At 43.5% G+C, this 24,766-nt stretch overlaps 1 protein-coding gene across 6 annotated transcripts in view, besides 4 other annotated features; it reads right to left on the bottom strand.

Moving 5' to 3' along the window:
- The window catches only part of FAM124A (family with sequence similarity 124 member A), a 61,842-nt gene extending 43,288 nt beyond the window's left edge, over positions 1–18,554 (bottom strand). For all 6 annotated transcript variants that reach the window (XM_011534978.3, NM_145019.4, XM_017020419.3 and 3 more), the window contains exons 1-2: positions 18,383–18,554; positions 9,573–9,604 (exon numbers count right to left, since the gene is read on the bottom strand). In XM_011534978.3, the coding sequence (XP_011533280.1) occupies positions 9,573–9,604; positions 18,383–18,450 (100 nt within the window). In that variant the 5' untranslated portion in view covers positions 18,451–18,554. The remainder of the gene's footprint in view (positions 1–9,572; positions 9,605–18,382) is intronic.
- Positions 18,606–18,665: a silencer, noted in NCBI's record as "silent region_5366". NCBI's record gives its function as "represses an Ori minimal core promoter by ATAC-STARR-seq in GM12878 lymphoblastoid cells {active_cell/tissue: GM12878}" and the evidence as "EXISTENCE:reporter gene assay evidence [ECO:0000049][PMID:35858748]".
- Positions 18,606–19,406: a biological region, named in NCBI's record as "H3K27ac-H3K4me1 hESC enhancer GRCh37_chr13:51795682-51796472".
- Positions 18,616–19,406: an enhancer, noted in NCBI's record as "H3K27ac-H3K4me1 hESC enhancer chr13:51795682-51796472 (GRCh37/hg19 assembly coordinates)". NCBI's record gives its function as "activates a minimal SCP1, AML or CMV promoter by ChIP-STARR-seq in naive H9 embryonic stem cells {active_cell/tissue: H9 hESC(naive)}" and the evidence as "EXISTENCE:reporter gene assay evidence [ECO:0000049][PMID:30033119]".
- Positions 18,786–18,835: a silencer, noted in NCBI's record as "silent region_5365". NCBI's record gives its function as "represses an Ori minimal core promoter by ATAC-STARR-seq in GM12878 lymphoblastoid cells {active_cell/tissue: GM12878}" and the evidence as "EXISTENCE:reporter gene assay evidence [ECO:0000049][PMID:35858748]".

Genomic DNA, 24,766 nt, shown 5'->3' with positions numbered 1-24,766 from the left:
GGCTTCTGGTGGGAGGAAGACGACTGGAAGGAACTTGATGAAAATCTGTGTGCCAGAAGCGTTCTGAGAAAGGATCATGGATTGAACCTCTCCTGGGCTGAGCCCTGCAGGCATTGGGATCCCTGAGAAGAGCAGGACTGTGTCTTCACTTGTTAGGGGGTGAGGGCGGCAGCTCAAGATGAAGTTCAGCTCAATTATAGAGAAATAAAGCAGTACTGCTTTTATGTCTGAGTTGGTGACTGAAAATTCATACTCTTTATAATAGGAGCTTCTTATAGGAGTTCTCAATGAAGAGCAGAACGTGTTATAATCTAACAGATGGCGAGCCCTTCATCACACTGTCTCATAGAGAGACCTCTAACTTCCCAGTTCAGTCTATCTGTGGCCCTACATGTTTGAGCCTCACTCTCCTCAAGCCTGGGGCAATGAAATATTAAATATGGACTTGTAGAGAAAGGCCCAATTATCTCCATAATTGACAAAGGAAAGACGTCTTGCAACTACTGTTGTTACGAAAAGGAAAATCATTCTTCTAAGCACAGGTTGAACTGCTCAGCTTCACTTCCTTTGTGTGCCAATAATAACGTCAGAAGATGTCAGAGTCAGGTCAAAATAAAAAGGGGAGTGAGAGCATGTGGAACATTCCTTCCCTTCCCGAATCAGGTGATGTGCAAAATAGAAGTTTCACAAATGTGGAAGAAGGAGAGAAGGTTTAGAAAGAAGGAAGAATGATGGGATCATCTTAGTTTTCTTCGACTCTGAATTTTGTAACCTTGAAAGGATATGACTTGGCTTTTTGTATCATATTTTTCAGCTACTTCTAACTTGTTATACCATCAGCAGTTAAAGACAGCAGTATGGATGTTGAACAAAGATAGAAACTGTACTGGAGTGGAAAATATTTTCCATAAAGGCTGGACGGAGCACCAATGGCTTTGCTGTGGCTGTTACTGTAGTCCGAGGCTGGAGCAGGATTGTCATCAATACCACACTTCCAGTGAGGGCAGCAGAAAAGATTTCCCTGTGGTTCTCCAAAACCTGAAAGTCTCCCCGTTTATAACCGACTCCATAGAGTAATTTTGCTCATTGTTATTGTTTAAAAAACCTACTATCTATCTACATATGTATCTATCCAGATAATCTTTTGTGTACATAAAATCACAATTTTTATGACACTCTCATCCATGTCTGTGGGAGAGTGAAATGGCACCTTTGGAGAATACCCTAGCAATAGGGATCAAAAGCTTTAAAGAGTACAGTTTTTACCCCAGCAATTCCAATTGTAGGAGTTTTTTCTAATAAGGAAGGATATGCACAAAGACCTATTAGAAAGATGTTTTTGGCAATGCTGTTTACAGTAGTAAAACAGTGAATACAACCTATAGGACCAACAATAGTGAACTGGTGAATAAAGTACAGTGCAAAAATATAAGGGAATACTGTATGAATAGTCAAACTATTATAGAGATGAGTTTCCTGGCATATAAAGATGTTTGTACTATAGTTAGAAAATTAGACTATAAAACAAAATATACAATGCCATTTTTTAGTAAATTATTACCCAAAATGTTATATATCTACATAAATATATAGATGCTCAGAAAAAAATCCTACAAAGGCAGACACCAAATTATGTATAATGGTTGCTTCTGGATAGTAGGATTCTGGGTTTGCTTCTCTTTGCTAATCTGTATTCTCTGATTTTTCTGCAATGACTATGTATTATTTGGGTAGCAAAAAATTATTTTGAAATTGAGAAAAGCACCAGGCACATCAAGGTAAGGAGTAGTGGCAGTTATTCACTTTCGTTTCCTGTCTTGGGGGAAATCCTGATGATTCTGGTAGACCAGATATCCCTGAAGTACCACTTCAGCTTTTCAAGGGGGGAGAAAGTAGTCACGAGAAGTCTGCCTCCATTTTTCTTTCATATCCCGGATGGAAATCAACACCCTCTGTCGAGTTGAAGTCACACAACTAAAACTGACCTTTGAAACCAGAAGGACTACACCATATTTTTTTTGGAAATGGATGCCAGCGTAGCAAAGCATCAAAGGAGTTGTCTGTGTCATATACTGTCCTTACCCTGTGATTTCCTGATGCATATCTTTGGTTATTGCTTTTTTCTTATCAACTGTCAGATAGTTAATACTGCCTAGCTTTTCAGGCCCCCATTCAGAGGACTCTGAATATACAGGCCCCACACCATGAAATAACAATCTAATGGACTCACACGTTCAGCTTCAGTAGATTCCTTCATCTCAGAGGTTTCATTTGCCACTTCCATGGTCCAACAGGTAAGGCTGCTACCTGCTTCTCAGACAAACCCCAAACACACACCTCTACCCTCTTCATAAGGGATATATCCCGTGTTTTAGAATAAACCACTCTCAATGGATAAACATATTTTCAATTATCAACTTAAAAATGCAAATATCAAGTGAAAAATGTTTTTCATCTAGATATTAGGTGGATCCTAGAGCCTATAGGTTTTAAAAATTAGAACCCAAAAGTAAGAGATTCAGATAAGCCACCTGTATCAGGGATGATTTAAGAGCGAGCTTGCATAACGAAGAGATGGGCTAGCTCGGTGCTCCTCAAACTTTCAGTACATACAACTTACTGGCCTCAGGAGGCCTGGGATTCTGCATTTCTAACAAGCTCCTGGTGATGCTGATGCAGTGGTCCCTGGACCACACTCTGAGCAGCAAATTTTCCAGTTTGGTGATTTTATACGCTCTACCAGGCCATTAACACCTTCCCTGGGCAGCTGACAAAATGTGAAGCAAGCAGGATGCCCTGACCCACAACAGCTGGCATTCTGTGGCTCTGAGGCTGTGGCTGAGCCAAAACCTAAGTGGCTGCAAAACCCAGACCTGCCATAAATGCCACACCCAGGCCTGTGGCCTATTAGTGTCACCTACCAGCTACATGCTAAATGGCCCCAGCCCTAAGAGGAGGCCTCGGAACCTGACAAGTATCCCAAAGCCCCTCCACAGAAAGCTTCAATGCCTGGGGTTGTGGGAAGAGCCACCAGCAGCAGGGCCCTCTCTCCACAGTTAGGGAAAGCTGGAGTGAGGCCCCTGGCTTCTGGGGTGGGGAAAAGAAACCTTAAGGGTGCTCTCTCATACCATACACCTACAGGGACAGTAGCTATAGGTATACAAGATGCCCCATGCCTGGAATACAATAGATACTACTGAGTAAAAGCTTGAATTCTTCAGTCACTTTGAAGGAAAAGCCACAGAAGAAGACAGACTGGATAAGGAAATCAGATTGATCTGTACAGATGTACAGCATTTCAGTGGTTTCTCACTGGTTTCTGCAGCCATGGCCACACACCAAGATGGAACATGTTATCACTGACACCATCGACCAACACTCAGCCCCTTATGGAGAACCCGATCCAGGGCTGCAGACTCATTCCAGCTGTGCCACAGCTCACCCTGAATCTCCTTTGAGAAGAGTTTTGCGAATAAACATGACTGTTGTGCCAGGACATGGTCTTAAATGTAATAAAAATGGAAATAGTTCTTATTTGGGGTTCGTTGGCTGGAAGTTGCATGCTCAAGTACTTCCAGCTCTGTGGATGGTAGAGTAGAAATTCAAAACCCTATGATATTCCTCCACTTGGAAATAAGTACATCATCTCCCCAGTGCTTTCATTTGTTTTATGTCAACTGCTGGGTTTACTACAGTATATCAAACAATCATTAGTATTACTAATAAGCCCTTTGGAAGCTAAGGAAGTAAAAAACTAATGAAAATAGGGGCAGACCTGAACTGAGACACTCAAGGTATACAACTAACTCTAAGAGACTACATTCTAATTTAGAGAATATTGGTGACTTTTCTTTATGACAATTTTACTGCAGTAGGGTGTGAAGCTGGGGATGGAAGAGGTGGATTTTTGAGTCTTTTCACAAACCTGTGAACACTGCCAACTCCATGCTAATCACAAAATTAAGCAAGTTCAATAGCTAAAATTGTTCTTTATGAGAATTAATAAACAGATTTGAGTTTTGCCTAGATCTTATGGAATAAGACTCTGGAAGAATATTTGTTTTGAGAATTACAGGGAAAGTATTTTACACAGAAGAAAAAATGAAGACTCTAACATTTACAAATGGATAAAAGTTGACTACTAGCATCTCTTCTGACACATTGATCTTCCTTTTTTGGAGATGTGATAAAAAACTGGCTCTAAAATGAGCAAAATCTGTCAATAAGTTATCATCTTCTCTAATGAAAACAGAAAGAAAATAATAAATACTTCATTATCCCAAGTCTGAATTTAGCTCTTGCATATGGAAACACAGATCATATGTATTCACATATTCCGCATTGGTGAGGAGTTCTACAGTATGCAATCATGTCTTTTCCATGTGTTGCTTTCAAAGCTCCTACATTGGCTTATCACAAATGTAATTGCTTAATTATATCACAATGAGCTCATCTTTCCCTCCAAAATGCTGAGGGGTTGCAAAAATGTGGCCAAGGCCAAAATCAAAACATTTATTGCATCAGTATCCTGAACTTGTAAGAAAATATTGAAATGACTGAGAAACTAAAGGGAGAAGGCAGCATTTATGTGGAAAGAGACAGCTGTGAGGAAAGACAGTCTCAGGAAGGGATGAGATGTCTTCCCAGACAGAGAAGCGAAGCAGAACTGACAAGCCCCAGTGGTGGCTCTAGACCAGCTATAACGGCTTGTAATTAACCAAGACACCTGGACTTCCCTATTTGAAAAACACCTGTGATCCACCTGACCCCTTTTCTCTCAATAAGAGTGATCCAGGGGCCCAGAGCAGCAGCTGTGCCTAGTTGGGGCTGCTTCGAGGGCAGTTCAGACACAGCAACCCCAGGAAAGCAGTAGGGAGGATGTCGACAGGAAGGGAGGCTATCTGAGTTACTGGAGGGACAGAGCAGGAAGCTGGAAAAAGAAGGTAGGGCCAAAATGGAAGAGGGCAGGAATCTGAGTCCCCAGGAGGTTGAAAAACAGTTTCAGTGACTCACAGCCACCCATCAGTTGTGCCTTTTTGCATGGCTCAGTACATGTTCCCAGGCTCAAATCAGCAGAGCACACTGTTGGTGGCCTTTTCTCCCTGACTTCCACAGCCACAGAGAATTCCTCAGGGAACTGTCAAGGGGCTAGGAGAAGCCCTCTATCACTTCACCCAATCTTTTAGCATTTGTGCTTTCTGCTGTCTACAAGGCATTCCTGCCATCGCTGGCAGTTCCTAAGGTGCCAGATAAAGAGCTCATGACTAACTGAGTTTTGAGGAGGAACAGTTTTAGAGGCAAAATTAGGAGACAAAATAGAGAAGGTTCCTTCAGAACAGCCTCAAATAGGACTAGTTAATTCTTTGACTACTTCCTATTGGCTTATTCTGGGGCTAGATATCTTCAAAAAATGTCATATTTTCCTAAAAATATAATTTTTAAGTTCCTAATACCTTCTAAGAGTAATTCTCTAAGTATGATTATAATCTTAATTTGAATGGAAATATTCAATCACACATGATGCAAATTTCGTTAGCATTACGTGGCAGAGTTGCTTTTTTTCCTGGCATAATTATTGTTTTTCTTTTCTCCTGTTTATAAATAATTTCCCTCCTTTTATTTAAACTGCATAAGAATGTAAATTGTACATAGTGGCTTGATGATCTCATTAGATTTCTGGAAAAACAGGATTCTGGAAGTAAAAATTAATCTTCCATAGCAAGTATTATGATTTATTGAGATCTCCTGAGTGCCAACAGTGTGTTTAGCCTTTCAGAAAACATTGAAAAAAATAAAAATAAAAATCCCGTCTTCCTTGTCGATCTGAAAAAGGCAAATGAACCCGTTGCAACTGGAAAAAATTCACCCAGACAAAACCAAACCATCCATTAAAGAAGCCCCCCGGTCACATCCCCCGGATCTGGACGGGGACAGAGGACAAGTCAGCGAAGTGCAGTTCCATGATCTGTGAGGTGGAGGAAAAGAGGACGATGCCCAGCAGTCCACATGCCTGCCCCTACCCTAGACCTGTGCAGTTCTGTGAGGGGAGGGGCACAAAAAGGAGCTGCTGCCTCTCACCACAGTCTCTCTACTGTGACCGACCTATAGGCAGCTCACGGTTCAGAGAAGCTCGGGTTGATTCTGGCCGGCCCTTGCTTCAGAATTTACATTACAGGCCACGAGAGAGGATGCCCAGGCTTCCAGATTTTTATGCTGGGTCAAAAAGAGAGCAAAGAGAAAACAGGTAAGTGCCTCAGTGCTTCCCTGCTTCTTTCCTTCCTCCTCCTTCCTTCCATCTCTTTGTAGAGGAGTTTCTTGGACATTCATATCTCAGCCTCCTAGAGCTTCTGGAAGGGCCCTTAAAGGCTTTCCAGCCCAATCCTCTTATTTACAGAGGAGGAAACAAAGGCCCAGAGAGGGTGAATGACCCAAGAGCATGTGGCTAATTCACGGTGGAACTGGGACTAGAACTCAGGACACCTCACCACGCCACCACTCTTATACCTTTCGCTTAGTGATAACTTTTCTTTTTCTCCCATGGGGCAGCTGGCATGAGGAAGCAGCCCCCTGCATTTTGAGGAAAAAGACAACTAAATAGAATGGTGCTCTCTGGAGGGAGGTCTCATTACAATCCCTAGTAATGGAAACTCAGCTGTGGACAAACAGGCAACAAGGTCGATGCTCTTGCTAGCTTACCCCAAGGAAGCATTTCTGCCCCTGTGAACTCAGGAACAAATGGGTAAAGGAGCATCACGTGAATGTTGAGTAAGAATCACTTGCACACGCAGAAAAATCCACTTTGTAATAGTGAATGATTAGAATTAACTCTCAATTCCCAACAGGAACCAGGAATCATTCAAAAGCCACTGAGTCGAGAGAGGCTGACAGCAGTGGCAGAATGACAATGAGATGCAGGAGCTGCTCCCAGGATGTCAAACTGGGACTGGGACAATGCAACTGTAGGGCAGGGGCAGCCCAGGACCCTGCTGGACACAGACGGTGCCACCCCAAGTCTCAACTGTGACTGGGAGAGGCCCTGTAACTAAATCATTCAGGATAAATAACAAAGTCACTACCCTTCTCTCCACTCAGACCCCTATGATTATATAGTTTGTAGGGAAACATTATTTTAAAAATCTACTTAGGAAATATTTTTTTTTCTTATTGTAGCATTGTCAAATTGATACTTTAAAGGATTTAAGACTTTAGGTTTTAAAATTGTTTCCAAATCTTTTCAGAAAGTCAACTATGTTACTCTTCACTGACTGCTCAAGGGGCCTTCTCCTGAAAGTAGGTGGCGCCAGGATTTATGCTCCTGGCTGGGAGGAGAGGCAGGCCAGGCACCGTGCTGGTGCTGACGCAGGGACAGTCAAGCCTCCCCGCTTCCCCCTACCCGCCCCACCCCGGTACCCACTCTCCCCTTCTTCCTTATTAATGGAACCATAGCATGTGACAATGTAACCAAAGAAAACATAACATTTTTCAGACTCCCTTGTAACTAGGGTTAAACATGTGACCAAGGTCTGGCCAATAGAGAGAAAAATTACTGGGTAGAGTCTCTGAGAAAATTCCTTAAAAAGTGGGGATGGCTCAGCTGGCAGGTACTTTCTGCCCTTCCCCTTTCTTTTTTCCTGCCTGGAACAAGGATGTGATGGCTGGGGTGGAGGCAGCCATGTTATAACTCTGAGACAAGCTTGAGGAAGGAAGCCAAAAGCTGAGAACGGTGTAGTCAGATGACAAAAGGAGCTTCTACACCAGACCTGCACTGCCTCCGTGGACTTTTTTTTTCTTCTTAAGGGTTAGAGGAAAACGAATCCCTACTTGTTTAGCCATCATTTTCCACCATTATTTGTAGTCAAATACATTTCCTAACTGAAACACATATACACACTCACTCACCAAGAGGCCCCAACACTGAAGAGTGAGGCAGGAACCACCAAACATTTAAAGTAGAAAGGAAGAGCAATAGCAGGGTATTGATCCCAGCTGCACTAATAGAAATTCCAACTCAGAGGCTGCAATTAAAATAATGGAGAGGAAAACATCCCAAACCAAATTACCAGTTTTGATAACTATAGAGGTGTTGTGTCGTGACCAGAGGACTGATTTGTGAGCTACAAATTGAACTAAGGCTTCACACAAGTATTTTAGAAAAATCATTCTGAAAAGAAATGTAGCCTCTGGGCAAAACTGAGTGGAATGGAAATGGTGGCACAGAGAGAGAGAGAGTTCAACTGAGCTTTCTCTGGTTTTAGGAATGCAGGAGCTTTGGGGAATGAGTGCAAATCTCTGAAGCATTATTCTCATTATTACTAAGGTTCTTAATAACTAAGGGGCAACATTTGGTCTCCAGTTGGCTGAACTGACCAGAAATTGCTCATTGCAGTTATACTAATAATGAAATATAATTTGACACTAAATTACAAATCCAGATATAAAACTATCTGCTCAGTCTGTTATTGCAAAGGAAAACTAAGCCAGAACATCAATAAATAGAATAATCCAATTAAGTGTCTCTCCATTTGGGAACTATTTAGAATTCAGAGTTTAACAGGCTAGTGAGATAGGGCAAAACAATTTAATATTTACTGATTTAAACAATCAGGGCCTTTATATTAAGACAATTACTTTTGTTAATTTAAAATAAGTATTCAATCAATCTGAATGGCTTTGGTCATTTATGTAGTAATCTTAATCACTCTCAATTCTTTCTAGTTATGAGGCATAATTTCTCATGAGTAAATTTACCTGTACTTTAATATTAAATATAAGCACCTTTTTAATAACCAGAGTGTCTTTGTAAACATATTCCTGATCATTTTCTGCTGCATATAATAACCACTTATAAGCCAGGAATTACAAATACAGGATGATGGATTGATAAAAATGTCTGTATTCTTTTAGCCACATTTAAGTGGAAAAGTAATAGCTAAATTCCCTAATTACAACCTACATCGGTTATACATACTGATATATATGTATATCAATGTGCATACGTATTGGTACATATGTATTGGCATGTATAACCAATGTAGGTTATAATTAGGGAATTTAGCTATCACTTTTCCACTTTAGCTATAACTGTTCCAACTGTTAACACACTTCGCAGGATTTTGCCAGAGATAGATGTTCCCTCCATTGGAGAGGGAAGGATATTTGCCTGCAGATGCAGACATGCAAGGGAAGAGATTTTGCAAGAGATGAGCTGGAGCAACTGCAGGGATCCAGGAATTGTGCTCTGAGCTTTCTGTTTGCCTGAGGGTAGCAGGTATCTGATAGATGTTTGTTCAATGAAAGCGCTACCTCAGATTCTTCAGAGATGATGCTCCTAGAAGCATCCACAAGCAGCTGATAAAGCCTGGGTTACATCCTTCAGGCTGAATTTCTGTATGATCAGATTCTCCAGGAAAAGCCTCCACTTCCAGAGTTACAGCATCCTGTACCACATTCTTTGGCAAAGATGCTTTGGTGATTCTTACCTACTATAAAACCATGTACACACATGGCCTCTAGGGTACTGACCTCTCCGGGGACCGTTAGACAATGCTGAAGGATGTTTAAAAGATACTTACTGCTCGTGGAGGACAGGTGGCTGTAGTCGGACCTGAAACACAAGACCTCAGCGTTAGTAGAATTCTTTATCCAAATGATTTATTCAAGCCAGAATTTTAAACAGTCAGTGGTAAGTAGCATTTAGCTGGTAAAGAAATGTCACCAATTAAAAACTGCAGTGCTAAGGCTCATTTTATGCAAAATAAAGTTATGTCTGAATTTGAAAGAAAACTTTAAAGGAACTTTAGAATTCTGGGGGCTCTCATGTGAGTTCTGCAAATTCCTCTGATGAGGTTTGGAAGAAGCCATCTAAAGGTTTAGCAAAAATATTGAATGGTTATTTCTCTGGGGAGAAGCCCCAAAGTTTTCAACAGATTCACCACTCACAGATTCACTCCAAAGGTTACTGCAAATGAGCACCCTTCAAATATTCGCACAACACCATGGGGAAATGTTCTTTGCTAACATAAGCAGAGGATCCCAGCGCGAGGAGAGAGGGAACCTCAGCTGCGAAGGTTTCCACATTCAAGGTGGGGCTGACCACCAGGAAACAAAGGCACAATGATATTTCCACTGATTTCAGTTCCATCTGAGAAGAAAGCCTGCTGGATATTAGAGTAACAGGATGTGAGCTGTGATCGGGAAAGGGAAAAGGCAGGCTAAGGCTGGGGTGAAATCGCCCTTTCAGTTTCTATGCTGAGAAATCAGCTGCTGGCATTCAGCCTCCGTAAGAGTGGGGCTCTGGCCAAGGATCTGCTTAATCTCTAGTAAGTTTCTGCCCTACTTCTGTAGCTGTTAAGACTTTCCTCTCTGGCAACAAATTTGATATGGAAGCTACTTATTTTCTTCCCCTAGTGTCCCAAAGTCATTCTCAGTAGGAAATTAATCACTTTAGCACGTAGGGATTTATTCTGCCATGGAAGTTAGGGGACGAAGTTATGCAAATAAACTGCTTAATTATGTTTAATTTTATAGATATACATTCCTTTTATCTCCTTAGTCTCCTGCTGCCTTTCCTGAATCATCCAATTTTCACTCCATTGAACTTCTTGCCACATTTAAAAAAGTACATGCAAAACTTTTTAAAAAAATCATAAGCAGCATGCCTCTTACTGATTAAAATAACCTACATCACTCAAAATGCTGCATTGATTTATTGGTCGAGGAACAAAATGGAAGAAAACAACATGTGGTTTTCACTTTCACAAATGAAATACTTTAGTAGTCATGGAATCAATGAATTTTAAAACTGGAAAGAATAACAACTACCAACATTTGCATATCCCTTTATATATTACAAACTGCATTCATATATATATATATAATTCAATATTTTATTGACTAGGAAATTAAAGTGATACTATCTGTACAGAGGCCAGGAGGTGAGCAATGATTAGTGACTGAAGTTGAGTGTGCACGGTGGGTGGAGAGGAAGGACTCCGAAGGCAGAAGGGATTGACTGGCTAGCACATGGTGACATACTAGCTAAGGGAGACAACAGAGAGGGGAGGGTCAAGGATTAGCAACATTCTGAAGCCCAGGATTTGTAACCCAGTACTGGTGCATTAAATTCTTTCTGGAACCATTCAGGACATAAACTTTAGAACAATACTTGGAAATGTAATTATATATAAACTTAGTGACTGCTCAGCAAATATCCACTGTGGTAGATGCAACAGGAAAACAACTTGATTACAATAAAATCATCTTAAGATGGACAGACTTTAAAGAAATGTCATGACTATTCAAATACAACACACAATAAGAATGGCGATATTTCTATTTCTTTTATTCTTTAAAATGTGTATTTTCAGCTAGGATTTTCCAAATTCTCTTGAAGCAGATGGGATTCACATATGCATACATTTTAAAGATCTGCATACAGATGGATATGTATGTAGAATGAAATTTACACTTGAAACATAGTTCAAGAATCTTAAAGTGCAACAGTATTTTAGTGTCTTGGGACAGGTGCTGGCATAACTGATGCCCCTCTATGAGTCCCTCCACGTTTCTAGAGACTAAGGGCACCACCGGGTTGGGCCCGCCGAATGGTCAGCCTTCTGACAATCACGCTGATCCTGCTGCAGTTCCCTCCACATACAGCAGCCAATCTTTGCAAAGGATAAATCTGATCATGTCTCTCTCTGGATGAAATTCAAGCTCGCTAGTGTAAAACACAAACCCCTCTCTCCGTGACGGATGGCCCAGCTCTGCTGTCCAACTTTCACCCGGGTCCACCGTCACAACGGAAACACACAGAAAGTCACCTACAGCCTCCCACTGCTCTCCAGCCTCTGATCCTCAGTATATGCAATTTGTACACAGTTGCCATAATGATGGAGACACAATTTTGAATTGCTCTTTTCACTTGATACCATCATAACATGCTGCTACACATTTCCTGTAATTATCATTTTAAATTAATACACTATAATTTATTCAACCCTTTTGTTGGCTAAATGATCGCTCCTGGTTGTTCACCTTTACAAAACACACGGCAATGAGGTATTTATGAATATGGCTTTATATTTATTTTCTTTTCCTTAGAAAAATTATCATGGGTGGAAATATAGACTGATTTGAGGTATAAATACTTTTATAGCTCTTAAAATATATTCCAAATAACCTCAAAAGCTTATTTACTAGAAATACGGTTAGGAAAGACAAACTACAAAGCTTGAAACAATTCTGCACATAATAAATAGGTTCAAACCATTTCAGAGAATAACCAGGTATTTCATTAGGGTTCTCTGGACAAGTCTGTACTCTGGACAAGTTTTTTTTAGGCAAGAGGAACAGCAGTAGGGTAGCTGCCTTGAGATTTCTGTTTATTGGTCTCACCTTTTAAGAATTTAGTTAGCTGGCTATGCATAAGACATTCAGCCCTGCCAGAATGAAGCATGAAAGGTGAATTTAGAATGAAAAATTTATACACGATATAGAGCAGAATAATACAAAAATTATGTACATTCACACACCTGACAAATATAGACACATTTCCAAATATTATTTACTATTTGTGCCAATAATGAACAGAAAGTTAGATGCAGTCCCTTGTCTATATTAATTACAATATTACATATAGGGATTACATAGAGGTTCTGTACTTAAGACAGTTTACCCTATCAGACAGCAGCCTAGCTACCAAATGATATACTACATATATACAGAATACTACATATATATATATACTACATATATACAGAATAAATTATTTTCCAGGAAAATCATGGCATAAGAATTGATCTTGGCATTCCTGTAAAATTGATCTTGATGTTTCTGTAAAACATCAGCTATTGAGCATCATGAACTTCTTCTGTTAACCCTCATTGCACTGAATTAAATTTAGTGTTAACTAGCTCCACCTTGAATACAAAGATAACAAAGTACTAACAAACGATCTGGTCTTCTATACAGCATTTCCCCTTTCATCTTTTTAAAAGACCTATCCCATTTAAAAATTCATCCCACCTATTCTTTTCCACCCACCTATTTAAAGTCTAGACCCCTGATTTTTTGTTATGTCTTAAGTCACAGCGAAGTATCAATTGGAGGTCCTCCAAAGAAACAGGGCATGGTATGGCCCTACAGGTTCAGAAGCTCAGTGACAGCTGAGATGGAAGTGGAAGTTCATTAATGCCAGACCAAACTATTGAATGAAAATAACCCATCACATACAAAAGAGTGGCTTACATGCCAAATCTTGAAGACATCACTAATGAAACAGTCATTATAAAGCACTGGCTTTTATTTGGGTTTACAAGGAACTGGCTGTCCTTCTATTTAAGGGATTCTGTTTCTTAAGATAGTTTACCACCATCAGCAGCCGACTTGCCAGTTTTTGCTAACAGAAAGTACATAAAAGCACAAGGCATCTTTCAAGTGGATTTGGAAAATGGGAGTTTCAAAATGATATCAATTGCTACAGAAGAATACTAGTTTGCTTTTAGTCTTGGCCTGTATTAGGTGGGTGAGACAGCAGCAGCAGCATTTCAAGCAAAAGAAAATGTCTGAGCAGAAAACAAGAATTAATTACAGATCAGACAGCTCCTGGAGAGGCAACTTCACTAGGTGGGAAGCATACTGGAGATCCAGGCTTCAATTCATGCCTCTAACGAGCCATGTGCCCTCTGAGTCTCCATTTCCTCATCTGTAAAATATAATTATTAGAATAGTGAGGCATGCCCTGTAGTCTCTCAGATGCTCTGAATGATCAAATTACTTAAGGTATTTAAAAGCAACAGAGGATCTATTGTGATGAGTTTGAAAAACATATGGTCTTGAGTTCACCATTTTTATTAAATAAAACTCTAAGTTTATAATTTGGAGTGTTCCTCATAACAATAATAATATAGTATGGTGAGAAATAATCATGTACTAAGGGTTCTAGACACTGAACAGCCACTGTTCTAGGGGCTTTAAATATATATGCTCATTTAATCCTCACACCAACCCTAGAAGGTAGGTACTACTATCGTCATCCCTCTTGTACAGAGGAGGAAACTGAGAGCAGAGAGAGGTTAAGTCACTGGATCAAGGTTTCACAGTCCCTAAGTGGAGGAGCCAGAATATGAATGCAAGCAGGCTGGCTCTTGTGACTGTAACTTTCAAAGTGGCCAACATGGCCACTGGCAGTGGGACCCACAAAGTTTCTCGGAACTGTTTCTTCCATCATGCCACTGAAAGGATAATCAGCTTAAGCAATACCCTGACAGCCCTTGTTTCTGTGTTTTGTTCACACCCCCTTACCCCAAATTCTGATGATCCTAACTACCCACTCTCTCTCTCTGCCTGACCCTAGGTAGTTGAGCATTGCTGCGAGAAAATAAATAACAACGGGAACTCGTACCCCTTGTTATTTATTTAAATACGTAATTGCAAATTTCAACTGGGCACCCACTCAACATTGCCCCAAACAACTATTCAAATCTCCATTCTCCTCAGATGATGGAGGGCTGTATTTACACCAAAGAGAAACCCCATCTTGCCTGCCCTTCTAATTGCAGGAGGGGATGTCCTGCCTCCTACCTAAAGCCATCCATCCCCCTGTGGTATGAAGTCCATCTGCCTCCACTTTTTCAGAATGCTGACACTATAGGGCCAGAAGCAGTGGCTCACAACTATAATCCTAGTGCTTTGGGAGGCCAAGGTGGAAGGACTGCTTGAGGCCAGGAGTTTAAGACAGTTTCTGAGCAACATAGCAGGACCTTGTGTTTATAAAAATAAAAAAATTAGCTGGGCATGGTGTCGGTGGTGCGGGCCTGTAATCCCAGCTACTTAGGAGGCTGAGGTGGGAGGATTACTTGAGCCTTGGAATTTGAGGTTGCAGTGAGCCATGATTCCACCAATGCACTCCAGCCTGGGTGACAGAGAGACCTGTCTGTTAAAAAAAAAAAAAAAAAAAAAAAAAAAAAAAAAAAGAAAGCAAGCAAGCAACATTACAGATTATCATCTTTTCTCCTCCTTCTCCTTCCCCCTTCTATAGAATCCTTTCTATCACACTGATTGCTCAATTAGCACCTATATTTAAGAAATCTTTCTTCACTCCACTCTCCCCTTTAGCTACTGCCTCTTTTTGCCTCTCCTTTTTCCAGACAAAGGAATCCACCTGTCTCCTTTTCTTCACCTTCTACTGCCTTCTAGAGCCACTCTAATCTGGCTCCTGCCTCCACCACCCCGCTGTGAAATACCACTCTTCCTTCACTTCATCATCTCCATTTAAAAAAGACATTTAGCGTTCCTCATCTTCATTAGTTTCTCAGTAGCATAGTTGATCTCTCCTTCCTTTCTCAAAAACTCAAACCTCCCTTGGCTTCAATGATTCATATTCTTCTTTCTTTGACTCCAAGTCTACTCTTTCTCAGGCTCCTTTATCAGCTCATTCTCATTGACTGGGCGTTTAAATATAGTTTCTCAAGGCTGGTCTTAAAAAGCACCTGCTGCACAGAGTTGTTGAAGGATTCGAGGAGTCCATGAAATACATAAAGGCTTAGAACAGTAGGTGGCACATACTAAATGCTAAGAAAGTGCTTGCTATTACCTTCAGTTGATTTAGTCTCTCCCAGAGCTTCCATTGCCATTTTTAGGTAAATAGTACCCAAATGCAATGTCATCATGAAGACCTCCCTTCTGAGTTCCAGACAGATATACCCAACTGCTGATTCATCATCTTTACTTGGATGTCTTGCAACACCTCAGACACAGTGTGTTGAAAATGAAATGTCTCATATCTTGCCCAAACTTGGTTTGGAATAGATCACCAGCTACTTTGAGAATCTGATAAAAAAAAAAAGTTCTCTTCTCATACAAATTCACAAAGCACATCATTTTGCATACAACTTGAAGGAATTCATGGACCCCAAATTAAGGATCACTGCCTTAGCAGATGTGTCACTTGAGCTGAGTCCTGAAAGAAGAGTAGAGTTTCACCTGGCAGACAGGCAAGTCAGGTGGGAAGGGCAGAGCTGGCAAAGAGGGCAGCTTGACAAAGGCGAGGAAACAGAAAAATACAAGGCGCAAAGAAGGACCTGCTGAGAAACAAGGCCAGGGAGGGAAGAAGGGACTCCATAACAGGAGTCAGGGCATATAGGCCACGTTAAATTCCTTGCATTTGTAGATAACAGAGCCATAAAAGTTTGAAAGGGAGAGACATGATCAGATTTGCATTTTAAAAATACTAACGATAGCAAACACTTGTTGTCTTCTATGTGCTTTCTACATAATCTCTGTGAAAGCTGGATAGGGTAAGGGGTGGGGGCAAGCTCTGGAAAAGCAGGGAAACGATGAACAGCTTTTTGATAACTGAAATTCAAGGGCTCTGTGAATATATGGCAAACACAAAACTAATTAGCATACATTGAAATGCATGCTATTTTACCTTTAGCTTAAGGATACTAGTGATACAGTAAGAATTCCTTTTTTTTTGGAGATGGAGTTTTGCTCTTGTTGCCCATGCTGGAGTGCAATGGCGTGATCTCAGCTCATGGCAACCTCCGCCTCCCGGGTTCAAGCGATTCTCCTGCCTCAGCCTCCCGAGTAGCTGGGATTACAGGCATGCGCCACCACACCTGGCTAATTCTGTATATTTTTTAGTAGGGATGAGGTTTCTCCATGTTGGCCAGGCTGGTCTCAAACTCCCGACCTCAGGTGATCCGCCCACCTCGGCCACCCAAAGTGCTGGGATTATAGGCGCGAGCTACCGCACCTGGCCAAGAATTCTTTAAACAATTCTGTCCTGTTACAACTACACATTTTAGTGACAGAGGCTGAGAACAGAAGCTCTGGTGTCAGCAGGAGTGGGGAGCCCCTCCCAGGAGGCCTGGCCGCTGTCATGCTGATGTCCAGATCCTGGGGCGATGTCACCCCCTGGGTCCAGGACTTCCTCTCCCTTCTCTAAGACAGAGCCCTTGAAAAAAATATCAGTTTTAGGTGAGTTCTGCAAATTGAAAATGAATAGACTAGTGAATGCTTTATTTAACGCAGTTACAAATAAGCTGGTTAATTTTGCTTTGTTTCTTCTATTCATGGTCCAGCTAACTAATGGCAGAAAAAAAAAGCCAATAATCTTGTTAAAGTTGATAAATGCCACTTACACAAAGAGTGGGAAGAAGAAAGGAAGTTTGGCATTTAGCATCAGGTTACTCCACCAGATTATAATTGGGTGCTGTAGAGAGCTATGAATAAGTTTGGATAACAGAGAAAGCCCATTGCTGGGTGAATGCCCTAGGGAGTAAAGTCCCGCATTTGGGCTAGGAGTGGTGGGGCAGGAGGGGCCCTGTGGGGAGCTTTGCCGGGGTTGGGTTAGAACTCTGGGTCGATCGTGGGCCTGGATTCTCTACCTGCCCTCACAGGGTTGCCAAATCCTGAGATTAGTCTAAAACCTCTCCGACCTTCCAGGAATGAGGCTTTCTGTAGTCTAGGCAGCTCCCGCCCTCCCCCAGGATTACTCCAGATAGGAAAAAACACCCTTTCCTCCTGGGTCAGTACCCGCGGCCTGGATGTGGTGCTGACTCTGCACAGGAAAGTCCTTTAGAGACAGAGGCTGCCTGGAAGCCTTTATAACGACATTCATCTCCTAAAAGGCATTTTGTCTTTTCTTCCGCTCAGGAAAACAGTGTTTGGAGACTAACTAATTAGTCTCCAAAGGTTTGAGCCCATTGTTTGAGTCCGCTGAAGCGAAGAGAATATTAAAAAAAAAAAAAGGCAGGGCTAGATCCTAATCCCAACACCATCTCCATCCCGCCGGTACAACAGGCCAAAGGGTCCAGCTGGGACAGGTGCACTTAGAGGTGAGGAAGTTCGGCGGGACTGGAGGAGTCGGGGAGGGGGACTCGGCAGCACAGATTAAAGTCCCACGATGAAGCCATATAACGAGAAATGCCATCCTCCTAGCCGACTTCGGAAAGACTTTTAGGTGCGGGTGTCCCACCCTGCTTTTCTTCCTCTCCCGATCTCCAGGGCCGGACTCCAGGGGGCTCCGGAGCTACAGGAGGAAAGTCCCCGAGGAAGGAGGAAACAAGTGCAAGAGCATCTCCTGTCTCTAGCGATGCAGACAAGGGGTCTTTGCATCCGCCTGGCGCTCTGCATCGCCTCACAGGATGGGTGGGCTTGCACTGAACCTTGAGTCCTTCCACTTTCCTCCCCCCGGGTGGTGCCCGCCCTGCCCAGGGCAGCGCGGCCCGCCCAGGAGAGAGCGGGGGATCCGGCAGGAGGAGAAGCCCCGCGCCCCGGTCCCGTCGCACGGATCAGGAGGGTCCCCGTCCGGGGAGGAGCCGCCGCGCAACTCGGAGAGCGCCCCCCGCCCGCGGCCCGGCCCGGCGCGGCTCACCCTCCGGTCTCGGCGCCCGAGTCCACGCAGTCGTCCTCCTCGCCGCCGCCGCCCGCCTTTGGGTCCATGGTGCACGTCCCGGCCGCGCTCGGCTTGCGGGCGCCGTCGTGACCCGGGGCGCCCTCCCTCCCGGCCGCCCAGTCCGAGCCGGCCGGGCTCCCTCCGAGCGTCTGGCGGCCCGGGAGCCGGCAAACAACTCAAGCGCCAGCCGCGAACCCCGCGCCGCGCCCTCTCCCGACCGCGCCCGGCTGGGCACCCGCGCCTGCGCCCGCGCCCGCCCCGCCCCTCGCCGTCCGGCGGGACCCGCGTGTGCGCGCGGCGGTGCGCGGGGAGTGCGCGTGCGAGCGCGTGTGCGAGCGCGTGGGGGGCGTGTGAGCGTGAGTGGCCGAGGTGTGTGGTCTCACACCCGTGCGTCTGTGCATGCGGTGTGATGTGGGTGCGGTGTGCACTCCTGGTTGCACGCGACTGTGGCTGTGCTGAGCGCGTGTGCCCGTCTGTGGTGCGTGACCGCGTGTGTGTTGTGGGGGCGGGGTAAGTGTGCACACGAGAGCCGCCTCTCTCCCCCAGGCCCACAGTCCGGGAATCCCGAGCCCCAGGGCTTGCCACGAGGTTCCCCACCTCCTGATCTGGGAGGAGCACTGAGAAAACCAACCTCAGCGCATCGTGAAAGCTGGGAAGGATTTGTTTCCCTTTTGGGACCAATTCGAACACCTGGGTGTTTTCTTATAGTTTCTGAAGAATTGCTGACGCCAAATTCATTATCACCTTTCTCAGTACACGTCTGAGCGGCATCCCACCCCCTCAACTTGCCAGTTTACAATAGGTGTCATGCATTCTTTTGCTACTTAAAAAAAAAAAAGCCTTTAAAAATAATTTAAAGAGCATTGAATGAACCTGCAATTCACGGGTTGTTGCAGCAAGGGGATAACCTTAGGGTGAGTTAATGATCGCTATTGGAGGGGCTCACCTCCTATTAGGAGGGTGAAGAGGGAGGCAAGTTGGCAGGGCGGGCGGAAGGAGACTTCGAACAACTTGAATTTAGTTCTGACAGCCCTATCCAAACCATTGGGAGGAATTGTCCTTACTGAGCCTAAAATTTCTTGCACCCCAAACAGCAATGGACATATTGGTGGGCATTAGCTGAAAGAAAGGAGCGTGCCAGTTCTTCAAGGGAGATTCCCCTGCCCATTTTTTATCTTGCAGCCAGGAGGGAACCTGCCTTTATTTACTCTGTGTGGGAACAATTCAAACTGTGCCTCATTTGATCCTCAGGGAAGTGCTGTGAAACAGGCTTACTTTTCTATTTTACCGTCAAGGAAACTAAACCCTACCGAGTTCGAGTGCCTGGTCCCAGGACACCCTATCAGTGAGCAGGGAAGCCAGGTAGTCCACTTAAGGTAGCTGGAGCCTGTGCCACTTACCTAGAAGGCTGATGAGTGGGCCAGTTGTATCCTCAGGAAGATGGTACTAAGGAAAAGGCCAGGGAAGAAAGGGTGAAATCAGCATGACTTTTAGAAGATGGGCTTTGGAAAATGAGATGCTATTTAAATGATTTCTGCCTTTCTCAAATATCCAGAGAAAGGGCATGCCAGACCAAAACCTCAAGCCACATCTCAAAATGATGCATGGATTCAGGTTCCCCTCGCCCACAGGGGACACAGTGTTATCATTCATCATTGGCATAGCAGTCTAATGGCAACTCAGTGATGCATTTATTATATGGAAGAGAAGCTTGAACGGTATCACTGTATTCTAGTGATGCATGGCTTTCTGCTTCAGTTCCCAGGTTTTAAAAGCCTCACTTCATTTTTTGCTTGTTTGTTTGAGACAGGGTCTTACTCTGTTGCCCAGGCTAGAGTACAGTGGCACAATCACAGCTCACTACAGCCTCCACCTCCCTGATTCAAGTGATCCTCCCAGCCTCCTGAGTAGCTGGGACTACAGGCGTGCCACCATGCCCAGCTGAGTTTTAATTTTTTTGTAGAGAAAAATATGTTGCCTAGGCTGGTCTCGAACTCCTGGCCTCAAGTGATCCTCCTGCCTCGGCCTCTCAAAGTGCTGGGACTATAGGCATGAGGCATTGCACCTGGCCCATTTTTTGGGAGGGCGGGGTATAAGAGTTGCTGGCAGGTAACCAGCACAAGAACCTTCAAGTGATCACTGCAGGGTATCTAGCCCCTAAACTTACATGGTTCCCACACTCCATAGTCCAGCTGTTTAATGTCAGTCTCTTTAATCATGGGGGTACGATGCTCTCCTCCACCCCTTTAAGATGGGGACAGAAAAGTGTCACTGGTCTGCTTAGGGTGTCTTGACTGCTGCCCTAAAGATATTCCTATCAGAGCCTGAGAACAGTGTTGGGGGAATACTGAGGTATGGCAGGAAGTGTAACAGGCTAGGAAACATGAAACCTGACTTCTGGATCGGAATCCATCATGTACTAGTTCTTTAAACTCTCGATAGAGAAAAAGGATAGACCATCAACTGTTTCCAAAGTTCTTACTACATGTCAGTCTTTGTGGTAAGGATTTTACATACATGATTTATTTAAATCTCACAAAATTCTTGTGAGGCTTCCTTTGTCCTTAAAATGGGGTTGTTGATATAAATCTCACAGGAGATTCAAAGCCCCTTAGAAACTACGAAGCATATGAATAAAAGATATTGCTGATTTTTTAATCACTTTTTCTCAGAAAGGTCTGAACATCAATCTTTTGTTGTATTTCACCTATAAAGCATGTTTCAGTCTCTGTTTATATTATTGCATGTGTTGGTGTGTTAGAAAACAAGGCAGTTCATTCATTTATTTATTGAACACTCAGTGTGTACTAGGCAGGGGCTGGTGCTGGGGATATGTTGAGGAATAGGCCAGAGCTATTTTCTGGCCTAATGGAGCTTTTTGGGTCAAGAGAAGGCAAGGCCAATGGGCATGGCTGGCCTTCCCACCAGGCACCTGAGAGGTATGTAGTGCCATCAGCCATTAGAATAGGACTGGAATGCCAAAGCCCTGTCTTGGAGGAAAAAACTTAAGATAATCGGATGGTAAATAGAGTCCATCAACTTTGCTGATGAAAGAGATGGATTAGTAATTAAGAAGGCCAAGAGTAATTGGGAGGGGGCCAAAAAAAGAGGAGCTAAGTAGCTTTAAGATAAGAACTTTACAGCAAGAGACTGAAAACAGATAAAAATAAATATCTCCAGAACATAGAATTTGCCCAGATTTGGATTTCAGTTTAGAGGGAAGCTAGGCCACTTTCATTGCATCTGTACCATTTGCTATTAGGCGAGCTTGATTTAGTCCCTTAAGTAAAATATTTGTTAGGGTTATCCAGTAGCAAATAGAACCAGAAAATATATTGGTCTGGAAACTTTTGCTCATTCATTTTAATTAATTAATTACTTTTTGAAAACACATTTCCCAGAAACAAAAATTACAGGTTAAAGAATGACATTAAAATTAAAAAAAAAGAAATCTCTTTCTTCCAAGACTCCAGAAGAGTCTGTCTAATGTGAAAAATAAATATTATGATCATGAGAAGAAAATTTATAAACTATTGACAAATCTACTTAGACAAAGAAAGCCACTAGCCCTACATGCAAACATAAGGGGACCAGATGGCAAAGGGATAAATGAAATGAAAGATAAACTGTTGTGTTGGGAAATAATCTCATTAAAATATAAATGACTCCACTTTGATAAGGAAGAGCACAGATAGTGGTCCTGCCTTGGAGGCTTCCCAAGAATTCTCAGCCTGCAGTTTATACCCGGACGAGATCTGGAGTCCAAGTCAGACATCAGACCACCCACCCACTGTGACCCCCAACAACTGGTGGGTGGGTGGGCGTAAAATGAGATGGGAATGTGAAAGGCTGGCTTCCGGAAATGTGCTGTGGAAATTTAAGAATCAAAGGGAACCTTAGACTCAGGGCACTGCCCTCCAGTCCCCCGTGAATAGACACGCCTCCTGGGAACTGTGGCTAAGTCACCCATTTATGGTTCTACGAATAACCTAGGCTTGGAAAGCTTTGGCCTTCCGTCCACTTTCATCCTGACACTTTCCTTCAGGCACCTGGTCCTCCCCAGCTCCAACGGCCTGATAGTCAGCTTGGCCTGCCATTACAAAGTACCACAGACAGCATGGCTTCAACAATAGAAGTTGATTTCGTCACAGTTCTGGAGGCTGGAGGTAGAAGATCATGGTGTCAGCAGGATAGGTTTCTTTGGAGGCCTCTCCTTGGCTTGCAGACGGCTGCCTTCTTGCTGTATCTTTCTTCTATCTGTGTGCATCCTTGGGTCTCTTTGTGTGTCCATATTTCCTTTTCTTGTAAATTAAACAGTCAGATTAGATGAAGACCAACTCTAATGGCCTCTTTGTAACTGAATCACTTTCTTTCTTTCTTTCTTTCTTTCTTTCTTTCTTTCTTTCTTTCTTTCTTTCTTTCTTTCTTCTGTCTCTCTCTCTCTCTCTCTTTCTTTCTTTTTTTTTTTGAGATGGAGTCTCGCTCTGTCGCCAGGCTGGAGTGCAGTGGCACAATCTTGGCTCACTGCAACCTCCACCTTCCGGGTTCAAGCGATTCTTCTGCCTCAGGCTCCCGAGTAGCCGGGACTACAGGTGTGCACCACCACACACAGATAATTTTTGTATTTTTAGTAGAGACGGGGTTTCACCATGTTGGCCAGGATGGTCACGATCTCTTGACCTTGTGATCTGCCCACCTTGGTCTCCCAAAGTGCTGGGATTACAGGCATGAGCCACCACGCCCAGCCCTGAATCACTTCTTTAAAGACCCTGTCTCAAAATACAGTCGCATTCTGAGGTACTGGGGATTAGGATATTACCACATTAATTTTGGCGGACACAATTCGACTCATAACACTGCCTTTGAAGCCATATCATGTGGGAGGCAGGATCTTATCATGGGTAAGACTGAGTTTCTCTCCAGCCACAGTGCACAAGCCCAAGTCTTCCCTCTCCCTCTATCACCTGCTAGGCTTGTGAACTGGGGCAAGTTACTTAACCTCTCCGGGACTCAGTTGTTTGCATCGCAGGCATACTGAGGTCTTTATGAGGACTGAGATGTTATCACGCAGAGAGTACTGAGATAGTGCCTGGCACATAGGAAGTATTGGGTATTATCATTTTACTCTGTGGTCAGCTTCCATATCTGAATCTTTCTTCATGACCTCTTTCTGGTTCTGCATCTGACTGTCCCAGTGCTCTTGTCCCTGTCCACAGGAATGTCATGCATTCATGCACTCACTCTTCCAAATTATACTAACCCAACTATCCTGTTGGATCTGGTCCAAATAAGACAGAAATCCTGCCCTTGGACCCTGCCAATCATTAGTGGGAGATCCAAGCAAATAAATCTCAAACCTCAATACAATGTAACTAATGCTATGACAGTGGCATATGCAATTCAGTTCAGAAAGCTGTGCAATGGTGAAATGCCATCTCTACTAAAAATACAAAAATTAGCCGGGTGTGGTGGCAGACACCTGTAATTCCAGCTACTCAGGAGGCTGAGGCAAGGGAATTTTTCGAACCTGGAGGCGGAGGTTGAAGTGAGCTGAGATTACACCACTGCACTCCAGCCTAGGTGACAGAGCAAGACCCTGTCTCAAAAAAAAAAAAAAAAAAAAAGAAGGAAAGCTGTGCAAGATTCTGTTAGAGCCCATGGAATGGAGAAAATGACACATCCTCAGGAGGATGGGAAGGGAGGGGTTCAGGGACAAGAGGAAAAGAGCAGGAAGTGATGAGCACAGGTTTCAGAGAATAGATCACGTAAGTTGAGTTTTAAAGAGTAGAATTCAGCAAAGAGACCAAGAGGGGAAGGGCAGAAACCATTCTTCCAGCCCCACTCCTCGTGGCTGCTGGTGTGTTGTTACTACAGACATCCTGGCACCTCCCCCGGCCCAGTGAGGACCTTGGCATTTGGCTCAGAATCATCCTGTCTACCTAAATTTTTGTCTTCATTTTGTACCTGCTCTAACACTGCAATTTGAAACTCCAAGATACAAATTTATGACCACTCGTTCCAGTCCTTCCTACCCTCATTTCTGTCTCCCTACCTATTCCTTAGCCTCATAAAAACTCCTACTTAGGTATCTCAATTGAGCTACCCTAAAGGTCTTTGGACATACCTACTGCTTTGAGTTGCTGGCCCACAGCACAGCTTTAAGAACTTTCATTGTGACTGGGCATGGTGGCCCAGACCTGTAATCCCAGCGCTACGGGAAACTGAGAGGGGAGGATCACTTGATGCCAGGAGTTCAAAACCAGCCTGGGCAACATTTCAAGACCCTGTCTCTACAAAAATTTAAAAAATTGGCTGGGCATGGTGGGTTGCATGCCTGTAGTCTCAGCTACTCAGGAGGCTGAG

The sequence above is a fragment of the Homo sapiens genome, chromosome 13, assembly GCF_000001405.40.
Source record: "Homo sapiens chromosome 13, GRCh38.p14 Primary Assembly".
Classification (NCBI taxonomy): domain Eukaryota; kingdom Metazoa; phylum Chordata; class Mammalia; order Primates; family Hominidae; genus Homo; species Homo sapiens.
Note: the sequence above shows the minus strand (reverse complement) of the source record. Positions and strands in the feature narration are given on the sequence as shown.